General features: G+C 38.5%; 1 protein-coding gene across 9 annotated transcripts in view; it reads right to left on the bottom strand.

The window, feature by feature from the left end:
* The window catches only part of DGKI (diacylglycerol kinase iota), a 465,938-nt gene that overhangs the window by 219,524 nt on the left and 220,198 nt on the right, over positions 1 to 26,216 (bottom strand). For all 9 annotated transcript variants that reach the window (XM_047421022.1, NM_001321708.2, XM_047421021.1 and 6 more), the window contains 4 exons: positions 22,923 to 22,994; positions 19,264 to 19,380; positions 8,975 to 9,049; positions 8,406 to 8,504 (listed from right to left, as the gene is read on the bottom strand). In XM_047421022.1, the coding sequence (XP_047276978.1) occupies positions 8,406 to 8,504; positions 8,975 to 9,049; positions 19,264 to 19,380; positions 22,923 to 22,994 (363 nt within the window). The remainder of the gene's footprint in view (positions 1 to 8,405; positions 8,505 to 8,974; positions 9,050 to 19,263; positions 19,381 to 22,922; positions 22,995 to 26,216) is intronic.

Consider the following 26,216-nt stretch of genomic DNA (forward strand, 5'->3'; position numbering starts at 1 on the left):
TTTATTTTACTATCATTAATGTATGAAAATCCATATAGAAAAGTTATTAGTCAGCCTATGTAATTTGACATTAATTTTCACTTTATTGTACAGATTATTGTCTGTATAATATAAAATATGGGCAGTATTAGCTAAGTATTAATATAATTTTATAGAAATAGTTTTTTCTAACTGAAGCAAAAGTATCCCAGGCTCCCAGTTATTTTATACATATATAAAACTTCCTTAGTAAGATCACAGCTTACTTTGACATTTTCAATCTCCATGCCTATACTGGTTTGTTTAAGCCAAACACTTCTCTGTCACGTGAACATTTTTGGGGCATTTTAAGTAACTGTGACATTTATAGAGATCATCATTACAGCAGACATAAGGTCACTTTAGAGATCATTTTTAAATTGGATTGAGCAAACAAGAAATGCAAGAAGGGGCCGGGCACGGTGGCTCATGCCTGTAATCCCAGCACCTTGGGAGGCCGAGGCGGGCAGATCACAAGGTCAGGAGATTGAGACCATCCTGGCGAACACAGTGAAACCCCGTCTCTACTAAAAACACAAAAAATTAGCCGGGCACGGTGGCGGGCACCTGTAGTCCCAGCTACTCGGGAGGCTGAGGCAGGAGAAGGGCATGAACCCAGGAGGCGGAGCTTGCAGTGAGCCGAAATAGCGCCACTACACTTCGGCCTGGGTGAAAGAGCGAGACTCTGTCTCAAAAAAAAAAAAGAAAAAGAAATGCAAGAAGGATCTTTTTATCAAGCAATACCAAAAGAGCTTTAAAAATCAGTAGGATGCCCCATTTTATCACCCATAGCAAATAATATTTGACCAGTTGAGCCGAGTTTGTTGCTCATAATATTGTTGTTTTAGTAGATATCGTAATTGCTCTTTCTTAAAATATGCCTAGGTTTGTATATCTAATAAGCTGCATTTAAGAGTCATCCCAGTATACTGGACATAGTATGAGATTTGAGGTCAAACTAACTTCAGTGTTCTGAGTAATCATGAGCATTTATAACCTTGCAGAAATGCAGTATATAAAATAGAAAGGATGTCCACCTTCCAGGGTGAGTATGAGAATTAAGTGAATCACTAACAGTCACGTATCTAGCACAGTATGCGGCACAAAACAGACCTTTGTTACCGTTAATCCTTTTCTTTTTTGCAGCCAGTTAATCTACTCATTAAATTACACTTGAGAATGTGAGCTCTAAAGTATAGCTTATAATTATCACATTGTTACTCCTGTTGTTACATAGGCCAATGCAGGTCTTTTGTTGCATGTACCAGCCAAACCTATAATTTAAAAGTTCTGCCTTATCATGTGCTTGCTATAATTTTAGGAATCACGTTCTATCTAATAATTACAACGAATCCTTGAGTTTCACCAAATGACATATTGTGCTTCCTATCAAATTCAAACATAGACTTAGATCTGTATACACACTAAATACTAGATCATTTTCCCTCTTCTCACGCTGAGCCTTGCTATGAAGTGTGTTTGGGATTATCTCGAATAATCTTTTATGTTTAATAGGTAACACAGGAGTTATTTTAATGACCAACTAATTTATAAAACATTTCCAACTGACTTGCTAGAAAGTTCTTTGTTCAGTTTTAGATTCCTAGAGTAGTTTGAATTGTTGATGTTAATTACTCCTTTCCACCTGTGCTATAGTAGAGTGCACAGCTCAGCTTCAGCCTCTCCATTATGCAAATATTAATAGGTAACTAACATCTTCCAAAAAATAAAAATAAAAAGCATTGAGAGGTTGTTTTCCTTAAACTTGAATTTCTCTAAAAGGTCCGAGTGGCCACAGAGGTGACATTTCTATTGCAGTCTATTGGAATAACATGCCTGCAATTGTGTAAAGATAACTTGCATAGCCAGGCATGGCTACCCTGTTGAAATTGACATTCAGGCATGATATGATTACATCTTTTAAAAAGTAATCTTCTTTTCAAAATATGGTATTTATTACCAAAAATGTAAGTATCTAAAAGAAAGCGTTGAAAAAATGCTCCACCTAGTGTGTGGAGAAACAAAGATCTAACTCACACACTTAAATGAATTCTATTAACTCTGCTGTTACCTCTGGGTTAAGTAACTTTAAAGCTTTAATAGAGATAATTTATTAAATGTAACTGAATGGTTTGACAAATATTAATTCACCAGGAGAAGGGTAATTCATTTCTTCCTCAATAGTAGGATTAAATCTGCTCATTTAGACATCTGTCACTTACTAACAACTCTCCAGCACTCTCATAGTTATCACATGCTATAATGCCAAACATAAAAACTGCAACTTTTGTGCAAGAGTCTAATTTTCTCTAAATGAAAAAAAAAAACAGCTTATATGCCAATCCCAATCCATGCATGCTACTGTAGATATACCTCACTGGCCACAGAACTTTTTTAGATATTATAAGAATGGGTATTCCTAAGGAGTAAAAGAACATTATTCTTCCAAGCAGCAAGTACTAGGGAGGGAGTGCAACAGGAGAATACAAATTCCCAAAAAGTGACTGGATTGAACAAGATTCATTCATTCACCTACTATGTGACAGGCACAGTTTTAGGTAGGAGAATACAGAGATGAACAAGACAGAGATGATCTTGTTCTCAGAAGGAAGTTCCATGCATTATTCATAAAGGAAAACATAATGACAATTGTTGGGGGTGTGGAGAAGCAATCAAGAACGGGTCGGTTCAAATAGCTCATCAATCTTCATCAAAGCACCATAACTCTAGTGTAGGTTGAAACTCTGCTATGTTACTAAGTCTTGGTTTATATCATGCAGGCATTATCTAGATTATAGAAAGAACAACTGCCCAGACAATAAGAAAGGCCTGAGAAAAATACATTAATGAGAGGAAGGGCTTAAGAAATTATTATTTCAAACTGCTTCAAACAATCCAAATAGAATGCCTCATTTATTTGATAAATACGTATTAGGCCCCTACTCTGTCCATGTGTACCGTCGGGATCTCAGAACTTACTGGAAGGAGAGCAATACAAAATAAATTAATTCACCAAAGATGGGAACTTCTCTGATACAGACGTCTGCTAAGGAGGATGAGTGCCCAGAGGAAACACTCTTAAGCCCAAGTTGAGAGATTAGAAGGCGTTGTAAGTAAAATATCTGAAATGTGTCTTGAAAAATGAGTAGACTTAACTATTTCTTTCCACCTCGAATAGATGAAGAACCTTCAGGGTAAAGGCACAAAAGGTGTGAAACAGCAAGACATCCCATGAAAAAGCTACATTCTGTTCACTTTTCTGAACCATGAGACAGGGAGTTGCGAGAGAGGAGACAGCTGAAGTGAGCTGTGGTTTAAATAATGTATGCTGAGAGGCTTAGGCTTTAATTTATAGAAAACAAGGAGTCACTGAAAAGTCTTCATTAAGAGATTCAGACCAGCTTTTTTTTCTCCCAGACTGACATTTTTTATGCATCGCTCTGGCTACAGACTAAGGAACCAGACCTATCACAGGAGCTAGTTTGGGTCTTAGCTGCCCAATCCTCCCACCAATACTATGATTTCAGAAATAGGACTTTCCATAGGTTCATCATTTGGTTGTTTTAATTCCATCTGTTGAGGCTAGCTGGACAAGAAGATGTTGAGGCTGCATTTTGACAAGTGTCCTCGTCTACTGACTTCCCTCTGCCCTCTTCCCTGCCTACTCTAAACCTTAGGGAGCCTGCACTTTTATCTAAACATAATGATCCTTGAATTATCACTAGGTTGAGAAGTTTCCAGTACTGCAAAAAAGTAACTACTTCATTAAAGTTGCTTGTCCAATTATTTAGAAACAGTTTTGGGACTCAAATTTCTCATCTGAAGTTATTTACTCTTTCTGTCTTCCCCTTCTCCCCACCTTGATGTGACTGGCCCCTGACTTAGGAGGGGTGGCCCTAGTCTGAGAAAGCCGATTCCCAGATGGTGGTGTAAACTCAGCTGCCATGTGTCTGTCCACAGACTGGACACCTCTTCCTCGATCACCCTACTGATAAAGACCCTGGGACCTGTAATCCAAGGATCCAACTCCTGCCATACTTCTACCCCAGGATTCCACATCGAACAGTGTGCAAAGCCAGGGTCTGGATCCCTTGGCTCTCAGGGATGATCAGATAGAATCATCCTAGAGGTCAGAACATTGCTTTACCCTGAAGTTAAAGTCTAGGTCACTGGAAGAGAAAGTCATGAGAGAACGTGAGGGAGAGACAGTGTGAAAGCAGGAAACACTGAGAGATATCACAGGATTCTATAAAACTCAGAAAGATGCTAATGAGTCCAGGACCTCAAAGAAAAATCTAAGTTTTGACATTAAGGCAAACAGAAGTGTAAGGGAGGGGACGTATTTCTCTAGTACTCGAAAGTTTCCACACATAGGAGGGGATTGCACTGGAGTAAACTTTATGTTACACTTACTATCTCTTTCCACCGAAGGAGGTATTCAAAGTTGAAATTTTTGGCTGGGCACAGTGCTATAATCCCAGCACTTTGGGAGGCCAAGGCGGGCAGATCACCTGAGGTCAGGCATTCCAGACCAGCCTGGCCAACATAGTGAAACCCCGTCTCTACTAAAAATACAGAAATTAGCCTGGTGTGGTGACACATGCCTGTAATCCCAGCTACTTGGGAGGCTGAGCCAAGAGAATTGCTTGAACCTGGGAGGTGGAGGTTGCAGTGAGCTGAGATCGTGTCACTGCACTCCAGCCTGGGTGACAGAGCAAGACTCCGTCTCAAAAATATAAAATAAAATAAAATAAAATAAAATAAAATAAAATAAAATAAAATAAAATAAAATAAAATAAAAAAAGTTGAAATTTTGGTCCCTGATTCCTCAAATAAGTCAAATCCCAATAAAATAATAGCAGCAGTGCTACCAAGCTCTACAGCTTTGCAAAACACCCAGTGTCATCGCTACCTTAAGAGTGTTGGAAAAACAAAGAGACAATTACTGCTAAGTTTAAAAGAAGAGATTTAACAACCTAGGTGTTCATCAGTGGAAGAATGGATAAAGAAACTGTGGTATATATACATAATAAAATACTATTTGACCATAAAAAAGAATGAAATCCTGTCATTTGCAGCAACAAAGATAGAACTGGAGGTCATTATGTTAAGTGAAATAAACCTGGCACAGAAAGACAAAAATTGACATGTTCTCACTCATATGTAGTAGAGCTAAGAAAGTGGATCTGACAGAGGTAGAGAGTAGAATGATAGTTACCAAAGACTGGGAAGGGTGTGGTGGGTGTGGGGGATGACCAGACGTTGGACAGTGAGTAAAAACATACAATTACATAGAAGAAATAGGTTCTAGTGTTTGCACAGTGGGGTGACTATACTTAACAACAGTATATTGCACATTTCAAAATAGCTAGAAGATTTGACATATTTCAAACACAAAGAAATGATAAATGTTTGAGGTGATAGATGTGCTAAATACACTAACTTGCTCATTATACATGCCATAAATGTATCAAAATAGCATATGTACTCCATAAGTATGTACAAAAAGAATGTATCAATTTAGAAAAAAAATTAAAGAGTTTTAAAATATGGGATTTCTTAAAAGAGAGACATAGAAGCAGTCCTTACACGGTTCATCCCAATACATTCCTTCAAAATGTTTTTCTTACACAAGTAAAATATTATATAAAGAGAAAAAGCTATTTTTCTTGCCAGTAGGTGGCAATATTGTCCAGTAATTTACTTAGAAGACTAAGCAAGTTAAAAATTTTTTAAAAAAAAAGAAAAAAAAAGTCTAAAGCCTAAGTTTCAAAGACAGAAGGAGATAGGAATCCTTTATATCTAAAAGCAGGTGAGTGGAATAAGTAAATTATTAAAAGGCAAAACTCAAGATTTAACAAAAAGTATCTATTTTTCTATTTATCACAGTAAGCCCCTGCTAACCATAGTATGGTTCTCTGAGCAGCAGTCTCAGCACCTGCGAGCTTATTACGAATGCAGCATCTTAGGGCCCACCCCGACTTACTGAAGCAGAATCTGCATTTTAGCACAATTCCCATCTGAATCATACGCACATTAAATTCCACCATATTATTCCTCTGTTCAAAAGCCAAAAGATTTTTTAAACTAAAATATTTTAAACAGCAAAAAAACTAGTTTCCATTGCATAAATCCAAAGTCTTCAACCTGAAGTATCCTGTTTCTTGAAGACGTGATTCCATAGGATCATTCTAATCTTTAATCACATTTCCAATAACTTAATATGCATGCACCACTCATCATATTGTCCTCAAAATGAATAATCGGCATCATGACATCTGTTCTTCTAATCCTATTATACAATTATTTAACTATGTGCCGTGTTCTAGAAATCACAGATTCAATGGTGGACCTGTACCCCAACAGTGAAGACGCACATAGAGCAGTTATGTTACTGTTCATATCATGCAAGTGTGTACCAAGGGCTATCGGGGCATAGTGGACAGGATGATTGATCTCGAGAAATGGTTCAGAAAGGCACCACTGAGCCTCGAAGGATGAACAAGAATTTGCTGAACAGGAATCTGCCACAGTAAAGAGCAGGAAAAGGACAGACCTTCCAGTCTTCTCTCCTCTGCATAACTAAGTAGTACCCATCTTTGATTTCAGCCATGTCCATGACACCATTTCCTTATCACTCCCAAGTCACTGCTTACCTCTGAAATATCATAGCACTGCAGTCTGAGCCACTCAATTTAGAAGTCACATGCAGTTAATGTTGCTTAAATTATTTTCCATTTGTTCCTTTTGTGTCATTTACAAGATGTCTTTAGAAAATTCATTTTAAGCTTCCTTGACCTCCCTTTTCTATTTAGTGAAATAGGAAGCAATATTAGATAATCTCTGAAGTCCCCGTCATTAATAATTTACACATAGACTGGAATAGGAACAGGCTATGTCTTAACTGGATCATCAGCTCCTTAAAGAAATAGATAACTTACTAGCCTCTGTGCGCCCTAGGAAAGAGAGCTTATAATGATTTAATAAATGCATCTTATATGTGGACTGTCATGACAAAATATATTTGAAACTAATTGATATGTGGTGCTCAGGTGGCCAAAATCATGGAACTAATTACATTTCCATGTTTCAGGGTTCCCAACTGCATCTCTAACCTTTGATAGAACATAGGGATACTAGCCCAAGAGAGTGGGTATTGTTCAGGGAAAATTAAACCTCATTTCAAGGAAACCCATGTCTAGGTCCTCCTCTAATGATGTCTTAGAATTGCCATCATTACTCCATAAAGATCTCTCAGCAACTCAAAAATGCAGGACTTGAAAACAAATGGTTTCTTTGCTTACACAAATTTCTTTTCCTTGTTCTCCAAAATGTTAATACACATTTTTACCATATCAAGTTTTTGAGAATTTTGAAGGCAGAGATGAAAGGAAGAATAATATTTCATTTAAATCATAAGCTCCCATAAGAGAAGTTTTATTGTAATTAATACATTCTGGACAATGCCCATTGTCTTTAGTAATAAGAACATCATCTTGGACCAGTGGGTCAATCCTATTTATACAACTTACCTTCCTTATATGGGATGACTAAAGGGTTTCAAATCTCCAGTTGTTTATTGTAAAACTTGAAGGAATCTTGTCTCAAAATGTAAAATATATACTTCGTGGATAAAGAAAATATTTTCTCATCCAAACTCAGAAGAAAATAACAGAAAATTAAAGCCCATAGAAGAGTATTGATAAGAAGCCTCAGAGAGTGGGAAGATAATCGGATGAAGAGACAAAGACCAGGATTCAAGAACAAATTCTGTCCTTTATAGACCAGTGTCACTTTAGGCATGCCTTTAGACTTAACTTTTCTAAGTCAATTTCTTTATTCTCAAATGAGATAAGTATCTGTACTATTGGATTTGGGCTAGGACCAAGTGAAACCTTAAGAAGTTGATATTTTCTATAATGTTGGTGGTATTTGGTAGGGATTATCATGGCTCATGAATCATCCTTTTTTCTTCTCTGAGGATAGGGATGAAAGTGGTTGTATCTAAATTGCAATAGAAAGAAATAAAAAGAAGTTGATGAAGGGCCTCCTAACTATAAGAATTGAGGAATCCTGAAACATACGAACTAAGAGAAATTCTAGAATATCCTTTCTTGAAAATCTGTAAGGAAAAAGTCAGTAGTTAGGTTTCTTAAGTGCCTTTGTTATAGTCTTATATGGAAGCAGACAGATAAATTATAGAACATCTAGGTTTTGCCCAGCCCTGTAATGTGTAAAGCTATCAGAGAAACAATAACCTTGTTCCTGAGAAACCGGTGTCTTCCAAAGCTTGGGATCCTAGTGGTACTATTTTAATTGGCAGTGAGAGTTGTGTCGTCAAGAAATTATCAAAACTTCTAAGTTGAAAATCATGAAAAATTACTCACCTGGTTGCCTCCACTCTTGGGATTCACAAATACAAGCAAGGGTTTCATGAGAGGAGAAGAGATGGGTTTTATCACAAAAGGACGACCTTTGTTTTCCTGCTGAAAGAAGCAATCAGCACTGTTAGGATACACATCCATGGCTTGAAAGGCAACCCCAAGGCAAGGGAGGTGGAAAACCACCCAATAATACATTTTGTTTCCCAGGGCTGACTCTTAACACGACTTCCATGTAAGGCTTGGAAGAAAGTATCTCAAGTTATCATTTGCTCCAGAGAATTAAGCCAGGCTTTTTATTTTACTCTGTAAACTCCAAATATTCCAGAAATATTAGCTTGGATCTTCATCATCATCATCTTGGGGATAACATTTCCAGGCAAGCGCAGAGGTTAGTTTTGAGTGTTTGTTTTTTTAAAAGAACAGAAAGAATCCTATTGTGGTTAGAGTGTAGTGAGGAGAAAGCAGTAGTAGAAGATAGATCAGAAAAATCAACTTGGACCAGATCTCATAGGACAGAGTAGACTATGGAAAGAAAGTGGAAATTCCTCAGAATAAAACTCTGAAACACTTACTTCCATCCCTCTTTTACTGGCTTTTCTTTTAAAGCTTGTTCTCTTCTTCTTCCGATTTGAAGCCTTCAGGGAGTTCTGTAGGGAGAGAGAGAAATGCCTGAGCTCAGAGGCAGCCAGCCCAGGAGCTTTCCCATGCAGAACCAAGTAGAAGATGACGGCAGCGCATGCTGTTCCACTGCATGCTTCTCATGCTTTCACACTTCCAAGCCACTGTTCATGGATAAGCCACAGACAGAAATCAGTCGAGTGCTTCAGAGTAAGCGACTGACTCTCCACCACACGGAGAGGCAGGGAGTAAGAACCCCAGAGGCTCTCATGGACTCACATAACAACACATGTTATACCTGCCAACCCTCCCAGTAAAAATGGAAGAATCCCAAATTCTCTGAGGGGCTCCAGTCTCCCGCCCAACCAGGTTCGTCTCCCGCCCAACCAAGTTCAAGTTCATCTCCTCGTATGGAGATCACCTATGTGGAAATGTAAAAAAGGAGGCCATTTTTCATGTTTTTATTTTTCTTTTTTGTTTTTTTTTTCTTAGTTTACTCTTTTGGTAATGATCTTTTCTAGTAATAGTCATAAAGTGACTCTTGACCCTACTCGAAATTTATGATCCAACTGTCCTATCAGTTGTCTGACATGTAAAATGCAAAGATAATACTCACCTTAAATCACTATGAGAGTGGGATGGAAGTCATTGTTCTTTCTTTCTCTGTCTAAAGACCTAATGGTTTAAAAAGTTTTCCCTCCCCTGGTAGCCTTGATTTTTTTCTTCTTATAAAAGTGCCTCAAACTTGTTGAAATACAGTGACCCCCAAATTTACTTTCCTTGTCTTTCTCTTTCTAGAAACTTTATAGACCACAATATTGTGATTACTTCAACTAACCATTTTCTCTTAATATTTGATACAGATGTTTTGAGAAGAACCTGTCATAGGGATCAGTCACAACCCACTGATTGAAGACAAGATAAAAACAGATTTAATTAGTGGAGAGTCAATGATTAATTAGACTGCTATCTTTAAAAGGCAAGATATTACTGACCATATAATAGATGTTTAACAAAGTGTTGGCAGCAAGAAACACAGAATTCTTAAATTAAAAGTTTATATAAGTATATATGCATGCATTGTTTGAGTAAAGTTGTCAAACAGCCTCAAGAAATGCAAATGTCTATTCTACTTTTTAATGTATTCTTTTTTCTTTGAGCATTCAAAATAATCTTTAGTATAAAGTACATATACTAAGTCATCCAAATTAGTAAGCTCCTATTTAGCTTTTATTTTACTTTGACTTGGATTTGGGAAAAAAAATAAGTTGATACATGACCTGTGTTCACCGGGGATGAGGGAAATTTTCAAGAACTACCATCTGTCCCAAGGTTTTCTTTCCCATCAGATTAAAAGATCTCAGGATCTCAGAGTCACACCAGGAAAAGAGAGATCGAGGAGCTCATGGGTGCTCTAGACCCCAGGTCATTCCTCATCACTCACTGTTGACTCTACTTCCCCCTGAAAATAGATCTTCGAGTTTCTAAATTCTCAGTTAAATGGGTCTTTTATCATGTCCCTCACTGAGGAATATTTCGCATTATGAAAGTATTTGTTATATTTTGATAGATTTCTGTTTGTTTAAAAGGGAAGAAAAGTGATTTGGAATCATTAATCATTTAATCAGCCAAATGATCTAAGAAGAATGCTAGAAACCACGAGGCTGGCAGGAACAGTATGTATTTGGTGTCAATTAACAATGCTCTAAATGCTTCTCAACCATCTCTACACATTGGCATCACCCAGAGAGTTTTGAAAAATGCTCGTGCCCGGGCCCCATCAACTATTCTTTCATCTGTTTGGGGTAAAGCCCAGGCAAGGATACTTTTTAAAAGTTTACCAGGCAACTCTATCACAGAGTGATGGCAGTAGAAAGAGGAAAGTGAGGAGACACATAGATTGTGTTAAGCAGAAGATGAACAGAGACAGGAATATACGTCTGGTATGGACTCTGAATCTCCCTGTTGTGAGATCAGTGACCTTGGCCAAGTCAGTCAAACTTCTGAAATAACAGTTTCTTAATTTTAAAATGATGGTGACACTACCCACCTCATGGGACAGTTATGAAGTTATAACCAGCAAAGGTACATGAAGCAGTTAGCTGGGTATTCATCCCACCATGAGCACTTCAGTAAATGTTAGCTCATTCTAAATAATGCCTCATTCTCAGCTGTGTGTCCCCAACACCGAGCACAAATTCCTGGCACATAGTGTACACTCGAATCATTGTTGAAATAATGAACAAATATTCCTATAATTCACAGCATTTACTGAGCCTCTCCTGATTTGGGAAAGGATCCTTGGGAAGTGAATGCTTGCCTCCTAACTTTTTTGTAGTTTTAATTCATTTACTGCCAAGAGCAATGCCAGACACCAAGTGCTTGCAGGAACATGCTATGGACCTAGGTCCTTGACAGGATGTCAGCAATTAAACTCCATGAGACAGATCTAACGCATCAGGCTAAGATTGTTTCCTAAACTTGTCTGATCGTAGAACTCACAGTATTTCAGGTGATTTTGATGATCAAGCACGTATGGGGAGCACAGAGTTAGAAAAACACATTAAAGTAAGGCTTGATGTCTGAAAACAGAGCAGGCAAAGAACTCAATTCTTATAGGGAACAGACACACAAAACGGGCTTTTTTTTTTTTTTTTTTTTTGTAACACAGAGGTAGCAAATACAAGTGCTTCTAGCCTCACCAAACCAAATGCATCTGAGGCCTTCTTCACTTCACAGAACAAGAACAGGGCAGAGACCAAGCACAGTCGTTGACTTACAGTACCTGGACGCATCTATGTGAGCTCTGAGTAAGCTTACAGCCCTACGGATAGTCAAACACAAAAGATAAATAGTAGGAATTTCACAGCATACCTCAAAATCCCATGGCTCCCTTCTATTTTTGTATAAATACATATCTCTATTTTGTATAAATATGTATCTATCTCTACCTCTAGGAACAGATGGGTTTGAAGGCAGATTTTGTATATGTTTTGACCATGATGAAATAAATCACCTACTCTTGATAATCTACAGGATCGCTTATCCTGCCTGGGTCAGTGTTGTTGAGAGAGTTAAACAAAAGAGCACGCTTTTCGAGAATGTTAAAATTATGTCAAGAAGTTACTGTGTAGAATTTGTTGGTGATATATGCAAGAAACCTGTAACACTTGTGCTATGTTCCAAAACAAATCATCTCTATTATATCAAGGGCAGCTAACTCGGTGATAAAAGCATTCGCTTTGCAAGATCAACACTAAAAACACAGTGAAATGCTGTATGTACCCTCACTTGGATTTTTGCATTCTTCTGATTCCAACAGCAGTCGCCCCCTAGACATTCTGTGCCTGCTCTTTTGTTAAAGACCTAAATAAAAAGGCTTTTTGTTTTCCTGTACTTCATACCAGGATAATTGTACCTTGCCACAGAAATAATCCTATCAATAAAATCCTGATCATGCTTATGACTCCTTGCTGGGCTATTAAGAAATAGTTACGGGTAAATCACTCAACTGTGACTGAAACTTAACTACCTCTTATTAATCTTCAGGGATTTTTCCAGGTTATAAGATCACAAATGACTGGTTATAATAACAGATCCCAAGAGAAGAGATCTGTTCGCTCTTCTTTGTCATCCCAAATAAAGTCTCCCCCCCATCATATACTGGACAAAACTCTGGTAGACAGTAGGAGAGAGAGTAATGGACTTAGTCTATTAAAGCGCATTCTTACTCTGCTGGGCTCCCATTGTGCCAGGGAACAAAGGCTGCTCTGAGGATGGGAAGGCAGAAGGATAAAGAAAACTTATTCCAAAAGTTACAGACAGGGTCCCAACAGCTCCAACCAGGCCTATTTGACTAAATCACAAGTACTAATGAAGCTTTAGAATTCACCAAAGGAAATGGTTCAGGCAATTTTGAGGCTAATTTACAGGATATTATTGGTCGTTGCACAAAATTAGCTATTACATTTCATGGGTTCCCAGTATTTTAAGAAGATTATCTAACCAGAAGAGATAAACCAAAAAAAGGGGGACTATTATGAAGAAAGCTCATACAGGGCTATGAAGAAATGAATGCAGCATTGTTTATAAGTAGAACATTAGAAACAATATAAATATCCACCAGTAGGCAGATGGATCAATAAACTAGGATATATCCACAGCATGGGATACATACAGCAATTTAAAAAATGAGTTAAGTCTACATATAATAACAGACTTTTCCCCAAGAATCTTTTTTTACTAAGAAAGGCAAGTTTTAAAGCATTATGTGAAGAATTATTTATTAAAAACACACACCCTTACACTCGAAGTGGTTCTGTATTTCTTCTGTGGGTGCATTTCCATGCATGTAAACGCACAGTAAAAACTCTGCATATATCATAGGAAGAGACAGCGGAGATGCTTATCATTTTAAATGCTGGTGAAAGGAGACTCTCTTATCTGAGATGTTTAATTTTTACAGGGAGCATATTTATATATTACTCATGTTACTACAAACGAAACAATAAAAGATTGAGCACTATCATTCTTTCAAAGAAACCAGCTTGTTCCCACTCAGTACTATGAAGTCACAACAGGCTGTATTAAGGAAAGAGAATGGAGGATCCATTTTATATTCTTTTTAGAAGATAGGAGCAGCCCAGTGAGATTCATGAGAAAGTTACAAAAAAGTGACAGTTTGGAAAATTTAGGGGACCAAGTACAAAATATTTTTTCAAATGATGTCATCTCATGATACATAAGTTTTGTAAAAGCTTTCCCAACTGTGGTCTTCTACAACTTGACCCCACAGAAAATTCACGTAAGTCTCAATCCCTCAGCTCCAAGTATATGCACTGGTATTTGACCATCTTTAACTTGCCTGTCCAATCAAAATATTGTCTAGTAATATTTTCAGTCCGAAAGAGAAACACTGACATTTGTAACTTTAAATATAACTTGGACTTCAAATATATCAACAGATCCAGGCTTGATTCTTAAATTTGGGGTTTTCATTTGAGTTATTTAAAATCATCTATCTTCCATTACCTTTTTATTTCTACAAAATAACTTCTTCATCTCTCTAAATAATGAGGTGATGAAACCTAGCAAATTACCCAAGCAGCCCTCACTCCCTTTAGCATCAAGGTTTCACAGAGCTGCCAATTCCACAGTTGCTCGTGGAGTAAAAATGAAATATGCGGTTTAATTCCAACTCTTTATAAACCATGTCTCCTGACCATGATACCCTCAAATAGATTTCCTTTACTCCTCCTCTCTAGAGTCACTTGTTTAGACACAAATATCCCAAATAAAGCTGACTTTATTTAAAGATCCATCTTAACTGTTCTCAGTTAGTTCTATCAACTTTTACTGTCCTTCTCAACCCGTGTTTCACTGACACTGCCTACATCCTTTAAGGCCTACCACAAATGGCATATTTTCTATTTAGCTTACCCTGATCCCCATGACCGAAAATGCTCCGTACTGCTTCATATTCACACTGTGTTTATACATCTTAGGTAGCACTGACCACTCTCCACCTTGGATAGATAGGCCACCTTGGATGCTGACCATGGCTGATTCAACCAACCTGTCTGGCCCCTTCCTCTCACCATCCTTTGTGTGTTTCTCCCAAAGATGCATACTGACCAAAAAGCAAACCTTCCGAGATAGTAGGAGGCACTCTTTTATTAAGGATTTACACACAGCTGAATTTTTCAAAATCCACAAACACTCTGCCCAGTGACTTAGATAGTTCTAGCTATATTCCCCACTATTGAGTATACTCTTTGTGGAAATGGATCACGGTGGATTCATCTTTGGACCTCCTACTGTATACAATAGCATCTCTGAATGTAGTTAAATTAACATGAACTGAATTCAATTAAGAACATCTTCTCTATTATTTATTTTGAAGCAGTATGATAGAATATAGATACATATACATATATGTGTATATGTATGTATGTGTGTGTGTGTGTGTGTGTGTGTGTGTGTGTGTGTGTATCCTCAAATTTGGAAAAACATTTTACTCTGCTATTCTCCACCTATGTTCCAAATTTTCCGTTAGTCACTTCCCAATGTCTTAAATGAATTCTCTAATATATTGACCTCCAAATCATGGCTAAAACTTGCCACCCATGATCCACACACTACAAACTATAGTTTTTACTGTCATCTATGAACAGATCAGAGACACAATGACTTTTCTCCTTGTTTTCTTCCTCGTGGTTTTTTTATGTCTATAGAATTTAACATTGGTGTCGAAGAGTTTCAATAGAAGAGTTTAATTGTTCGGTATTACACAAATTAGTTACGTGGCTACAGCAAGGTTATTACGGGCCCAGGTGGTATTGGCTCAAAAGTCAGAAAGCTCTTAACCACTGCTGCATTGTCCCCACAAGCTCACCATACCTCAGCTTTTAAATAGACTATGGTTCATTGGTTAACTTACTTGATGGCTTTGAAGCCCACTAAAGAAAAGACTACTAAAATTTTTAAAACATCTGATTCAGCAAGGCTGGCTACAGAAAGATAGTGAGGCAGTGTGGCATACCAATAAGAGCTTGTTTTTTGGAATCAAAATTCCTGGGTCCAAGTCCCATCTCAAACTATTTAATAACTATATGACCCTGGGTAATTTATTTGACTTCTCTGTGCCTCACAATCCTCAGATATAGAGTAAGAATAACAGGATACCTGCTCATAGGATACTATGATGATAAAATAAGATACTGAATGTAAAATACTGAAAACTTTCCTAACACATATAAATGTTAGCTCTTCTTACTATTATTATTACTACATTGTCCTGAATCATAGACGGTAATAAAAAGGCACATGTTGAATAATGAATTTGGACTGTGCATCCAGACTATGAGCTATAAATCCCATATCCCATTAAAAGTAACCAAGACTCTAGAGAAAGAACCAAGACTCTGATTCCAGGTATGGACAGGAAATGCATTAAATGATCCTGGGACATGGTATTGTTCCTAAAACCAAGGAAGCTCTCAAAACCTCATGGCTCATAACAAATGTGAAGACAGACACCATGTGGAAGAGGTTCCAATGGTTGGAGATGAAACAATATAAACATAGGAAGAAGAATGATGACAACGTATTGGAAAAACACATAATACATAAAAACATAATTAAGTAATTTCGTAATGATACTCTCCAAAAAAACAACCACTACTACATCCTATAAGGGTTGCTAAGGCATCAGCTTATTATTCTGAAAACTTACAAATAAAGGCAAATACTCAAACGTTTGTCATGTATTTGTTGGGATGAAGGAAAGGTCTCTTTTCTAAAAATCATAGCTAAAAAGAGTGAAAATTGGAAAACGACTCCTTGGCAACCCCTAATGCAATAATAGACTTTGGCAAAACTCTTTGATAGATAACAATAGATGACAAGCTGATGGTGAACTTTATGATAGACAGATTAGGATGACAGTTCCTGAACCCACTGATTGATCTTAGCATCACTGAGAGTGAAATGGCTGATATCCTCTTCCTGTGATGGCAATGTACTGCCAGTGTATCCCTTTTACCAAAAAAAAAAAAAAAAAAAAAAAAAAAAATTAAACCTAAATATAATTGAGTCTCTGGGTCTAAATATTAGTTTACAAGAAATATGGGCAATAAGAGAAATAATTTGGAAACATGGTAAGAATCAGCCAAAATCAAAATATGGGAAATCCTATGGGTAAAGTGACCCAATTTCATCAACGGGTAAGTGGCCTGACAAATAACAGGGGGTATTGTTCTATACTAAGGGAAGCTTAAGAACTACGTCAACAAAAGGCAGTTGTGAACTTTGGATCCTGACTTGAAAAACAGTAAAAAAAGATATATTTTAGACAACAGGAAAAAATTTTAAGGGATTATTAACATGACTGAGATAATGGCATTTGGATTTTTTTAATGCTATCTTTTACAGAAGCATAATGAAGTGTTTACAGACTAAGTGGTATGCTGTCTAATGTTTGTTTTAAAATACTCTAGTTAAAGAAAAAGTAGGGGGATTCCACTTCCAGGAAGATGGGGTAGATGGGGTGAGGCCAGGAGGAAATGGATATGACTCCTGACAAGGGACCACCAGGGATGCTCCTGGGGATGGAATGTTCTGTATCTTGACTGAATCAAGGTCAATATCCTGGTTGTGATTTTGTACTGTAATACCGCAAGATGTTACCATGAGAAGAAATTTTGGAAGGGTGCAAGTGATTTCTCTGTATTGCTTCTCACAGCTGCATGTGAATCTCAAAAGAAAAAGGTAATTCATAAAATGAAAATATGAAGTAGCAGGAGACACATGAAAAAGAATGGCAGAAAAGTTGATGGCTAGAGGATTCATTATAACCTTTTTCTTCATTTGCTTGAAAATTTCCATAACAAAAAGGGTTTCTTAAGGTTTAGAAGAGTAAACTTTGCAATTTCCCTACAAACTGGTATTATCCCCTGATTTTCCTAACTAGTGTGTCTGCGGACTTCCAAATTCCCATACCACTAGGCTATTTTACACACTCTTGCTACTTGTTTCTTTCTAAAATACTATATATATATATATATATATATATTTTTTTTTTTTTACTCTATCATTCCTTTGCTTAAAAGGAACTCTGCTGCTACTTCAGGATAAAGTTCACGGTTATTAAAAAAAAAAAAAATTCCTCCACAGTCAGGCCTGAGCAATTGTATGTTCATCTCCCACACACCCTCTGCATAAACCCTGCACTTTGGTCAAACTAGACTCACAGTTCCACGGATATAATTTTGGACACAGTACTCATGCCTGTGTGCCATTCTCCTGCCTGCTACTCTCTCTCTACTCCACAGACCTAAATCTCACCCATTTTTACAAAGCAGAACAAATCCCATCTTCTTCATGAAGCCCTCCCCCCCACTTCATAACAAGACTCTTAAGAGTAAGGATCACGTATTTTATCGCAATGCCTATTAGCCTTCCTGATACAATCGAGGTTTTCAATGGAAAGATGTGGATTTAACTGAATGAATGTTTAATGTAAAGCCTTGGAGAGATTACCAAATTTTAGAAAAAAAAAATTTTAAAGTAGAAATGTTAAAGAGATTTAAAAATAAAAACTGGAATTCAGTACACTTGAATTTCAAATAGTAATACTATATATAATTTGTTTTATCACCTTGGGTAACTCATTTAACATATCTTGGCATTTGGTTCTAAAATATAAAATGAAGCACTAGGCTCCTCATTTTTTAATATGTAGACACTATACTTGCCTCTGGAAAAAAATATCCCAAGGGCTTCCATAGACTATAATTTTATTCGTAAACATTACTCATCAACAGAGTCTAAACTTTATATAAAACACAGAAAGCAAAACAGTATCCCTGATCCACCAGTTTTTAAATAAACCTGAGTCAATGAGAATGAATCACATGATGAGTCTGGAGACCACAGGAAGTAGGACCACCATATCATTTAAAGGTATTGCATTTGATAAGTCTTCCTACAGTACCTGCACCCTAAGGGAGGTATAGTCTCTCTTCCCATAGCATTAAAAATCTGCCATCCCATAACTTGAAGCTAACTGTCAAGGATGTATAGTACAAAGGCAGAAACATTTTATTTCAAAGATTACGACCTTGTCAAGAAACCACTAAGGTTTCCCTGAATACTGAGGTGGATACTCACAAGGACAGGAAGTGCACTGGGGAGAACACAGAATGAGATTAGATATTAAGAGAATAAATTCTACTTTGCCTTAAGAAAAAAACAAATGTCACTCTCTAAGCAGGCCTGTGTATTCAGGAAGGTCATGATTCATGGTCTGCCTTCCAGGTTGGAAGTGGCAGGAATCTTAACCAAACCATGAAGCCTGAACAGTTTGCCCTCACACTGACCCTCTGGGAATGCCCAGGCTGGAAGAGAACAGAGTTGTATAAGCATCAGCTATACCCACCACTAGTACTCAATGAAACTTGGAAGAGCACCTATCAAAGAGAATATCATTAGCACATGAATGAGGAGGCAACATTCCTGCTCTAGAACTTTGAATTCATTAGGATGGGGAGGCTGGTTCCATGAGAGAGCCCAAAGTGGGAAAGAGATGGGCCAATGGGATGAACTGAGGAAGCTAAGCACAGGGCCTTGGGGATGAGTGAACTGAGGTCATAGGAACCCAAAGACTAGTCTGGGGAGAAAAGCACGAAGCAGCAGTTCATTTTTCTCTGCACTGGCCCAGCAGCACCAGAGTCCTGGCAGTTACCTGAGGTTTCTTCACCTTAATGATCCAAGTGGGCGGGACAATAACAGCAGCATGAGCCCCCAGGGAGCAGGGTTCTTCAATGTGATGCAGCATGAAGCAGGTCACCTTATTGTGAAACTGAAGAGAAAAATAAGCCAGTAAACAATTCTGGTCAAAGAGTAATGCTGCAGCAAGAAGGGATAAATATGTACACACGCACACACACACACACACACACACACACACACACACTCATTACATGCACAAAAATACATATGCATGCACACATGCACACATGGGCACACACTGAGGACTGAGGACATGCTTTCCTCATCACCACCCAGCCAGCCCCAGGAGCTTAGAGACCAGACTTCAGATTTATTCCGGTTTACAAACTTATAACATTGATAACAAGAAATCAGTCTAGCAGGATGAAGCCTGCTAAAACTTTCTAATCGTTGCATGGAATATTTACTTAAAAGTTTTAGAGTCTTGGAGGGTTCTATTAATCCTGATTTTGCACAAAATGTTCACATACACTTCCCTTGACCTGTGCTGGCCATGGACTTGGTTGATCTAAGATAACGTTAAGAAGGAAATGAACAGGCAGAAAGGCAATGCCTACCACCTGCCTTTCCTTTTCCTATCATAGATATAAATCCTCCCAGGTTGTCTTTCCGGTTTAGAGAAGGCAGAAAAGAAGCATGATGTCTCTTCTACAGAGTTGAAAATCCCAGAAGTAACAAAGTACAAAGAGATTGCTTCTGTTGGGTTTGTCTGGACTGCTAAAAAAAAAATTCAATGACCCTATTACTCTTGGCAAGTCTAAAGTGATTTTTGCTTTTGAAAGGAAGTAAATGTAGGCTAACGATCATAACAATACCACAGTATTAGGGTCTTAACTGTATACCCCAACAGTGACACTCAGACTGGTGACCTTAGGCCAGTCAAGTTTTCAACCATCTTTTGTGTGACTATAAAGTGATAGTGATGTGTAATAACATTTATTTTTCTGAAAAAGAAAACTAAAATCAACATTATGCAATAATTATAGGCCTTAAATTTTAATCACAGTGATTTTAAAAATTCAACCTCAGTTTCTTCTTAGATTATACTTCACGTAACTATATTATTTATCATTTTAACTGGAACAATGTTAAAAGTAAAAAGTATCACTGATAATAATTATGTTGAAAACACAAACACAAATTAGGACCGTCTCCAAAAAAACTGGCAAATATGTCCACCCTAATTACATTACATAACATTAGAGAGGTTTTTGTTTTCATTTCTACATGTCTTCAAGATCTGCTGTGATCCAGTGGCTAATCATTAATCAAGCAATTGTATATAAAATACTGGTAAAATAATTAATAATTCTGCCTGCCACCAGTTATTGGTGATCTGCAAACAAATATACCAGATAAATATTATTAACATTTGAATACCTTCTTTAAAAATTGCTTTTTTTTCTTGGCAATTCAAATAAACCCTCAAATGTATGACCACTGCATTTCTAAAACATTAGGGATCGCAGAGACTGCCTATGTCAAGTCTCTCAATGAATACTTAAGTAATCTCCACTCTAGAGACTCAGAGGTACATCCAAGATTGCACAGTTTTTAAATGATGGAATCAAAACCCCAACCCTGGAAATCCAGGTCCCAAACCCCATATTCTTTCTCCTGTACCATAAAGGGTCACATATTTATTTGCTTGTCTGACATCAAATATCCTAGAAGGGGTTCACCTGGACTGTGAAAACATATCAACCGCTGTAATTTGTGTTCAAATCTTTTGTACCTATTATCCTTACAAAAATCACCTTCTACAAGGTGGGAAACTGGGAAATTCAAAGATAAGTGGAACTGACCAAAGCTCTACCACAATGGTCAGGTGAAAGTTGTCCTTTGTAGTGATTCAGTTGGACTACAGATTAATAGAAAGAGAGCACACATGTTCATTGTAAAGTGGGATTGAGTTTCCAAATTAATTGAATCTGGATAGACCATCGCACCACAGCCTGGTAGCTGCACAGGGCAGGAGCAGATGCAGCCGATCTGAGCACACCGCTGCCCAGAAGGCTGCCCCACCAGTGGGGTCTCACCAGATTAGAAGAACCAGGAGCAAAGATAGCAGCACTGGGGACCCCAGGACCACAAATGGAGATATTGCCTTGCTGGTACAGAGTTTCATTCAATAACTAGGATGGCCTTATATTTGTGCACACATTCTTGAACAGAAGTGAAATGATTATTTGTGTAACAACTAACTGAAAGTAAATGAAAATGCCAGGAATAAAAAATGTCACAGGATTGTGATGCAGCGACACTGAGCTTTCCAGACCACCGAGTCTCTATCTAGTGACAGCAGGTTCTTCTGACATGTAGGAGGCTAGAGATATTATTAAGTTGAACTATATGGAACTGCCAAAATATAAATGGTTTTGACCCACAAAATGTCCATTTCATATGTTTCAACTAAATGCATCTGTTCCAGCCCCATGGCCTGTGTGGCTAGTTTAGCGTGATGTGTGTAGTGGCAGGAGTTTTCTGCAAACCTTTAACCTCACCAAGACACCACAGCCTTTTCTTTGCAGGTCCCCTGTGCAATGAAGGGGTTATATATTCCAACTTATTCAAAAGAATAGGGACATTGAGAAATTACAGCAGGCATCAGCAAACTTTTTCTATAAAGGCACAGGGAATAAATATTTTAGGCTTATGGGATCATCCACCTCTGTTGCAATTACTCATCCTTGCCATTGTAGCATGAAAGTGTCTATAGACAATACATAAATGAAAAAAAACAGCCACAGACAATATATAAATAACTGGGCATGGCTGCATTCCAGTGAAATTTTATTTACAAAAATAGATGGCAGCCAGACTTGGCCTACGAGCTGTAGTCTGCCAACACCTGGGTTAGACTATATGTTATGTGGTAAAAGAAAGAACAGGTACACAGGTACACATGTACAAACAAATAAGAAAATGTAGCATCTGGTACAGACCGAGGAATTACGCTCTAAATAAAGTGGGAAAAAAGGTAGATTAAAGAAAAATAAATAGGGACATTACCATCAGATCCTAATGAGTATATATATGTTCAAATGTAAGAAAGAGCTACATTTCAATGAGTGTACAGACAACATCCAAACCTAAAAAAGCATACAAGAACCACTCTTCTTATCCTCACACTTAGCCCCAAAATAAAAAGTCATGCACATTAAACATTAAAACCAGAAGAGCCAGGATTCCTGTCCACCTGTGTTGGAGGGACCTCTTAGGTCATACGTTGCTTTGCTTCTAATGTTGTACCTTCATACCAGAGGAGTTCTCAACAATACAGAGGTACTGGAGGGAAAATGTGGTCTAGGTGTGAGAAGTCCTCAACTCTAGACCCAGTGTTAGAATTAGGGGAGGATTTTCTAGTCTTTGACCCCAAGCTTTAATGTACATAAAATATAGAAGTTAATTTATCTCTCTAGTGTATCCCAGCTCATCTATGCTATTGTTCTATAGTTTCAGTCTGTCTTTCTTCCTCCAAGGATCCTATATGAGAAAAGCAATACATTAAATTAGGAATGCCTTCTACTTCCAGGGAGAAACTCAAATAATGACACAAGTGTATTTCGACAAAACATGAGCCCACATTGCTTTATTTCATCCCAATCTTACCGCCTGCTTGCACCAGGAACAGCTGATAGCCACAATCTCTTTACTGTGGAAGGAGAACTTTTGCTGGAAGCCCTGGGATATTAGAACAAGAGACAGATAATTTAAAACCACCTCAGTTACAGCGCACATTTGCCCTCCTGAAGTGCAATGACGTGAATAAGGCCAGAAGGCCAGGACTGTCACCCACCACTGGAGGTAAGTAGAATTGCAAAGGCCACATTGAGCACCACACTCTCCACTTTCTGCCTGCAATGATTTTCTAATCCTGAAGCATTTCAAGTGAGAGAGAGAGGAGGTGCTGGTATTTCCTAGACCACCTACTACTCAAAGTCAGCCACACAAAAAGAGCTTTTTGAAAAAATAAATGTTGTTCTGATATGTTTTTATTATAACCAAAGGAAAAGCCATTATTGGTTCACATGGTCTTGTCTAACAATAATCATTCATCTCAGAGGGTCTATACAACTTTAGCATCCGAGAACCCAGAAAAAAAAAAAGAAATGAAATATCAGAGAGACAATAACTGGAACTCCGGGTCTGGGAGAAGTCCAACGGTGTAGTAGTAAATTCAGACACTTTCATAAGCCCCTTGAGATGTCTCCACTCAAAACAAGCAGCTTTTAATTTTTATTCTTTACCAGGAAGCAACGATGAAATCAATGAAATGGTAAACCTAATCCTCTTAAAGGAACAAACTGAATTACTTTTCCATCCAGAACAGAAGAGGTGATTTTCGGCTGCTGCTGTCCCTAAATAATGGCCAGAGAGAAGTATGTAGTATTGCACAAAGAATTTTTTTAGCCTTCCCAAAGCTCATCCATTTCCCTCTGCCTGTGAAATCTAAACCCAAACAAAAAATTCAAAGCCACAATAAAAAATGTTAAAACAGAGCTTTTGTAAGGTGATCAAAAGAAAACAGAAAGATGTGATAGGCAGGAAAGCTATTCAAGGCACTGGCTAAGTAAGTCTGGCTTAATGTGTACAGATAATTTTAAGTTGAAAATCAATTACCACATTATTAAATTATGTCCCAATGGCATTTTTCAGCGCCCATAATCCCTGCCCATCTGCAGTACTTTATATACTACCGAGCATTTCCTCCTTTTGAACCTCTCTCGTTTTTGTTTTTGTTTTTTTTTTGAGACGGGATCTTGGTCTGTAGCCCAGGCTGGAGTGCAGTGACCCAATCTCGTCTCACTGCAAGCTCCGCCTCCCGGGTTCACACCATTCTCCTGCCTGAGCCTCCCGAGTAGCTGGGACTACAGGCGCCTGCCACCACGCCTGGCTAATTTTTTGTATTTTTTTAGTAGAGACAGGGTTTCACCGTGTTAGCCAGGATGGTCTCAATCTCCTGACCTCATGATCTGCTCACCTCGGCCTCCCAAAGTGCTAGGATTATAGGCGTGAGCCATCTCGCCCGGCCTTCTCTCCTCTCTTGATTTCCTAACACACCATCCCAGTTCTCTTCTACCTCTCCAGTCTTCTGTATGTGGACAGACAACCAGGACTGGTTTCACTACTTTTGCTCCAACCTGAACTACCACTTCCAGAGACATGACCTTAACGTCAGACTCTCCTGGGTTTTGAAAAATGTATCCATCAATACCTCCTTCTCAAAAACCTAAGCGGTATTTTCACTCCCTGTGCAGAAAAGAGTTAACATAGCAAATCAGACTCCTTAAAAAGGCTGCTTGCAGCTGGGTGTGGTGGCTCACGCCTGTAATCCCAGCACTTTGGGAGGCTGAGGCAGGCAGATTGCCTGAGGTCAGGAGTTCAAGAGCAGCCTGACCAACATGGGGAAACCCCGTCTGTACTAAAAATAGAGAAGTCAGCTGGGCTTGGTGGCAGGCGCCTGTAATCCCAGCTACTCGGGAGGCTGAGTCAGGAGAATTTCTTGAATCCAAGAGTCGGAAGTGGCAGTGAGCCAAAATCGTGCTACTGCCCCCTAGCCTGAGGGATAGAGCAAGACTCCATCTCAAAAAAAATAATAAAATAAAAAATTTAAAAAAAAATAAAGAAAGGCTGCTTGCAAGGTTGGCCCTTGGTTGGCATCTGGGAACTCGGATTGCAGGAGGGTTTCTCCAATTGACAGCACAGTTAAGAGAGTCTCATTGGGCCTAAACTGTTTGCACAGACTGGGCATGGTGGCTCATGCCTGTAATTCCAGGACTTTGGGATGCTGAGGTAGGCAGATTGCTTGAGCCCTGGAGTTTGTGACCAGCCTAGGCAACACAGTAAGACCTTATCTCTATATTAAAATTAAAAAAAAAAAAAAAAAGACAGAAAAGAAACTTTTTGCACCAATGTACATTTTGTCCTTCTGGAAGTCTGGAATTTTATTATGTGCAATGCAGAGACCTGCATACCTAACCCTTCGGCCCACTAGACTCTGTGTCCTCTTGTAAGCTGTTCTGTTTAGGCAGTTGCAACTCTTATGTGATTATGTGAAAAGTGCTTATGTGAAAAGGCCTCAATAAAAACCCTGGACACTGAGTCCAGTATTCCTTCCACATGTGTTTCACAGTACTTTGCTGGAGGAATTAGGCACATCCTGTGTGACTCTCCTGGGAGAGGACTCTTGGAAGCTTGTGCCTGGCCTCCTCCAGACTTTGTGCCATGAGCCCTTCCCTTTGTTGATTTTACTTTGCATCCTTGTGTTGTAATAAACTATAGATATTAGCACTATACACTGAGTCCTGTGTGTCCTCCTAGTGAATCACTGAACCTGGGGTGGTCTTGAGGACCCCTGATATGTTCCTCTCCTCCCAGATAAGGACTCCTGCTATTTCTTCCTCTGTCAATGACAGTATCTTTTCCCAAGAAGAAAAAAAGTGCTTCTGACACACACACACACACACACACACACACACACACACACACACGGACTTAAGTGCTGAATTTTGATGTCCATGTGTTTACTACTACAGGGCCAGCAACAACCCCCACAGTCCCCAACACCTGAGAGTTGCAACCGCCTAAACAGAACAGCTTACAAGAGGACACAGAGTCTAGTGGGCCAAAGGGTGAGGTATGCAGGTATTTTCCAAGATGATGCTAAACTGTTCAATATGAAATAAGATGGCACCAAAACTGCAGAAATGACTTCACATTGCAGCCATTTGAAAAGCTCCTCATCATCCCCCAAGCCATTTTTCAGGGAGCAAAAAAAGGCTACAGCGACACCTTGTGGCTACTGTGTGGGAAGGAAAAGAGCAGCAGAAGCCGGGGTGAGACCCGAGTGCCTCTGTCCAGTCCGGTATCACGCTCTGCTGAGGGTCACCTCCCATCCGGATT

Source organism: Homo sapiens, chromosome 7, assembly GCF_000001405.40.
Source record: "Homo sapiens chromosome 7, GRCh38.p14 Primary Assembly".
In the NCBI taxonomy this organism is placed as follows: domain Eukaryota; kingdom Metazoa; phylum Chordata; class Mammalia; order Primates; family Hominidae; genus Homo; species Homo sapiens.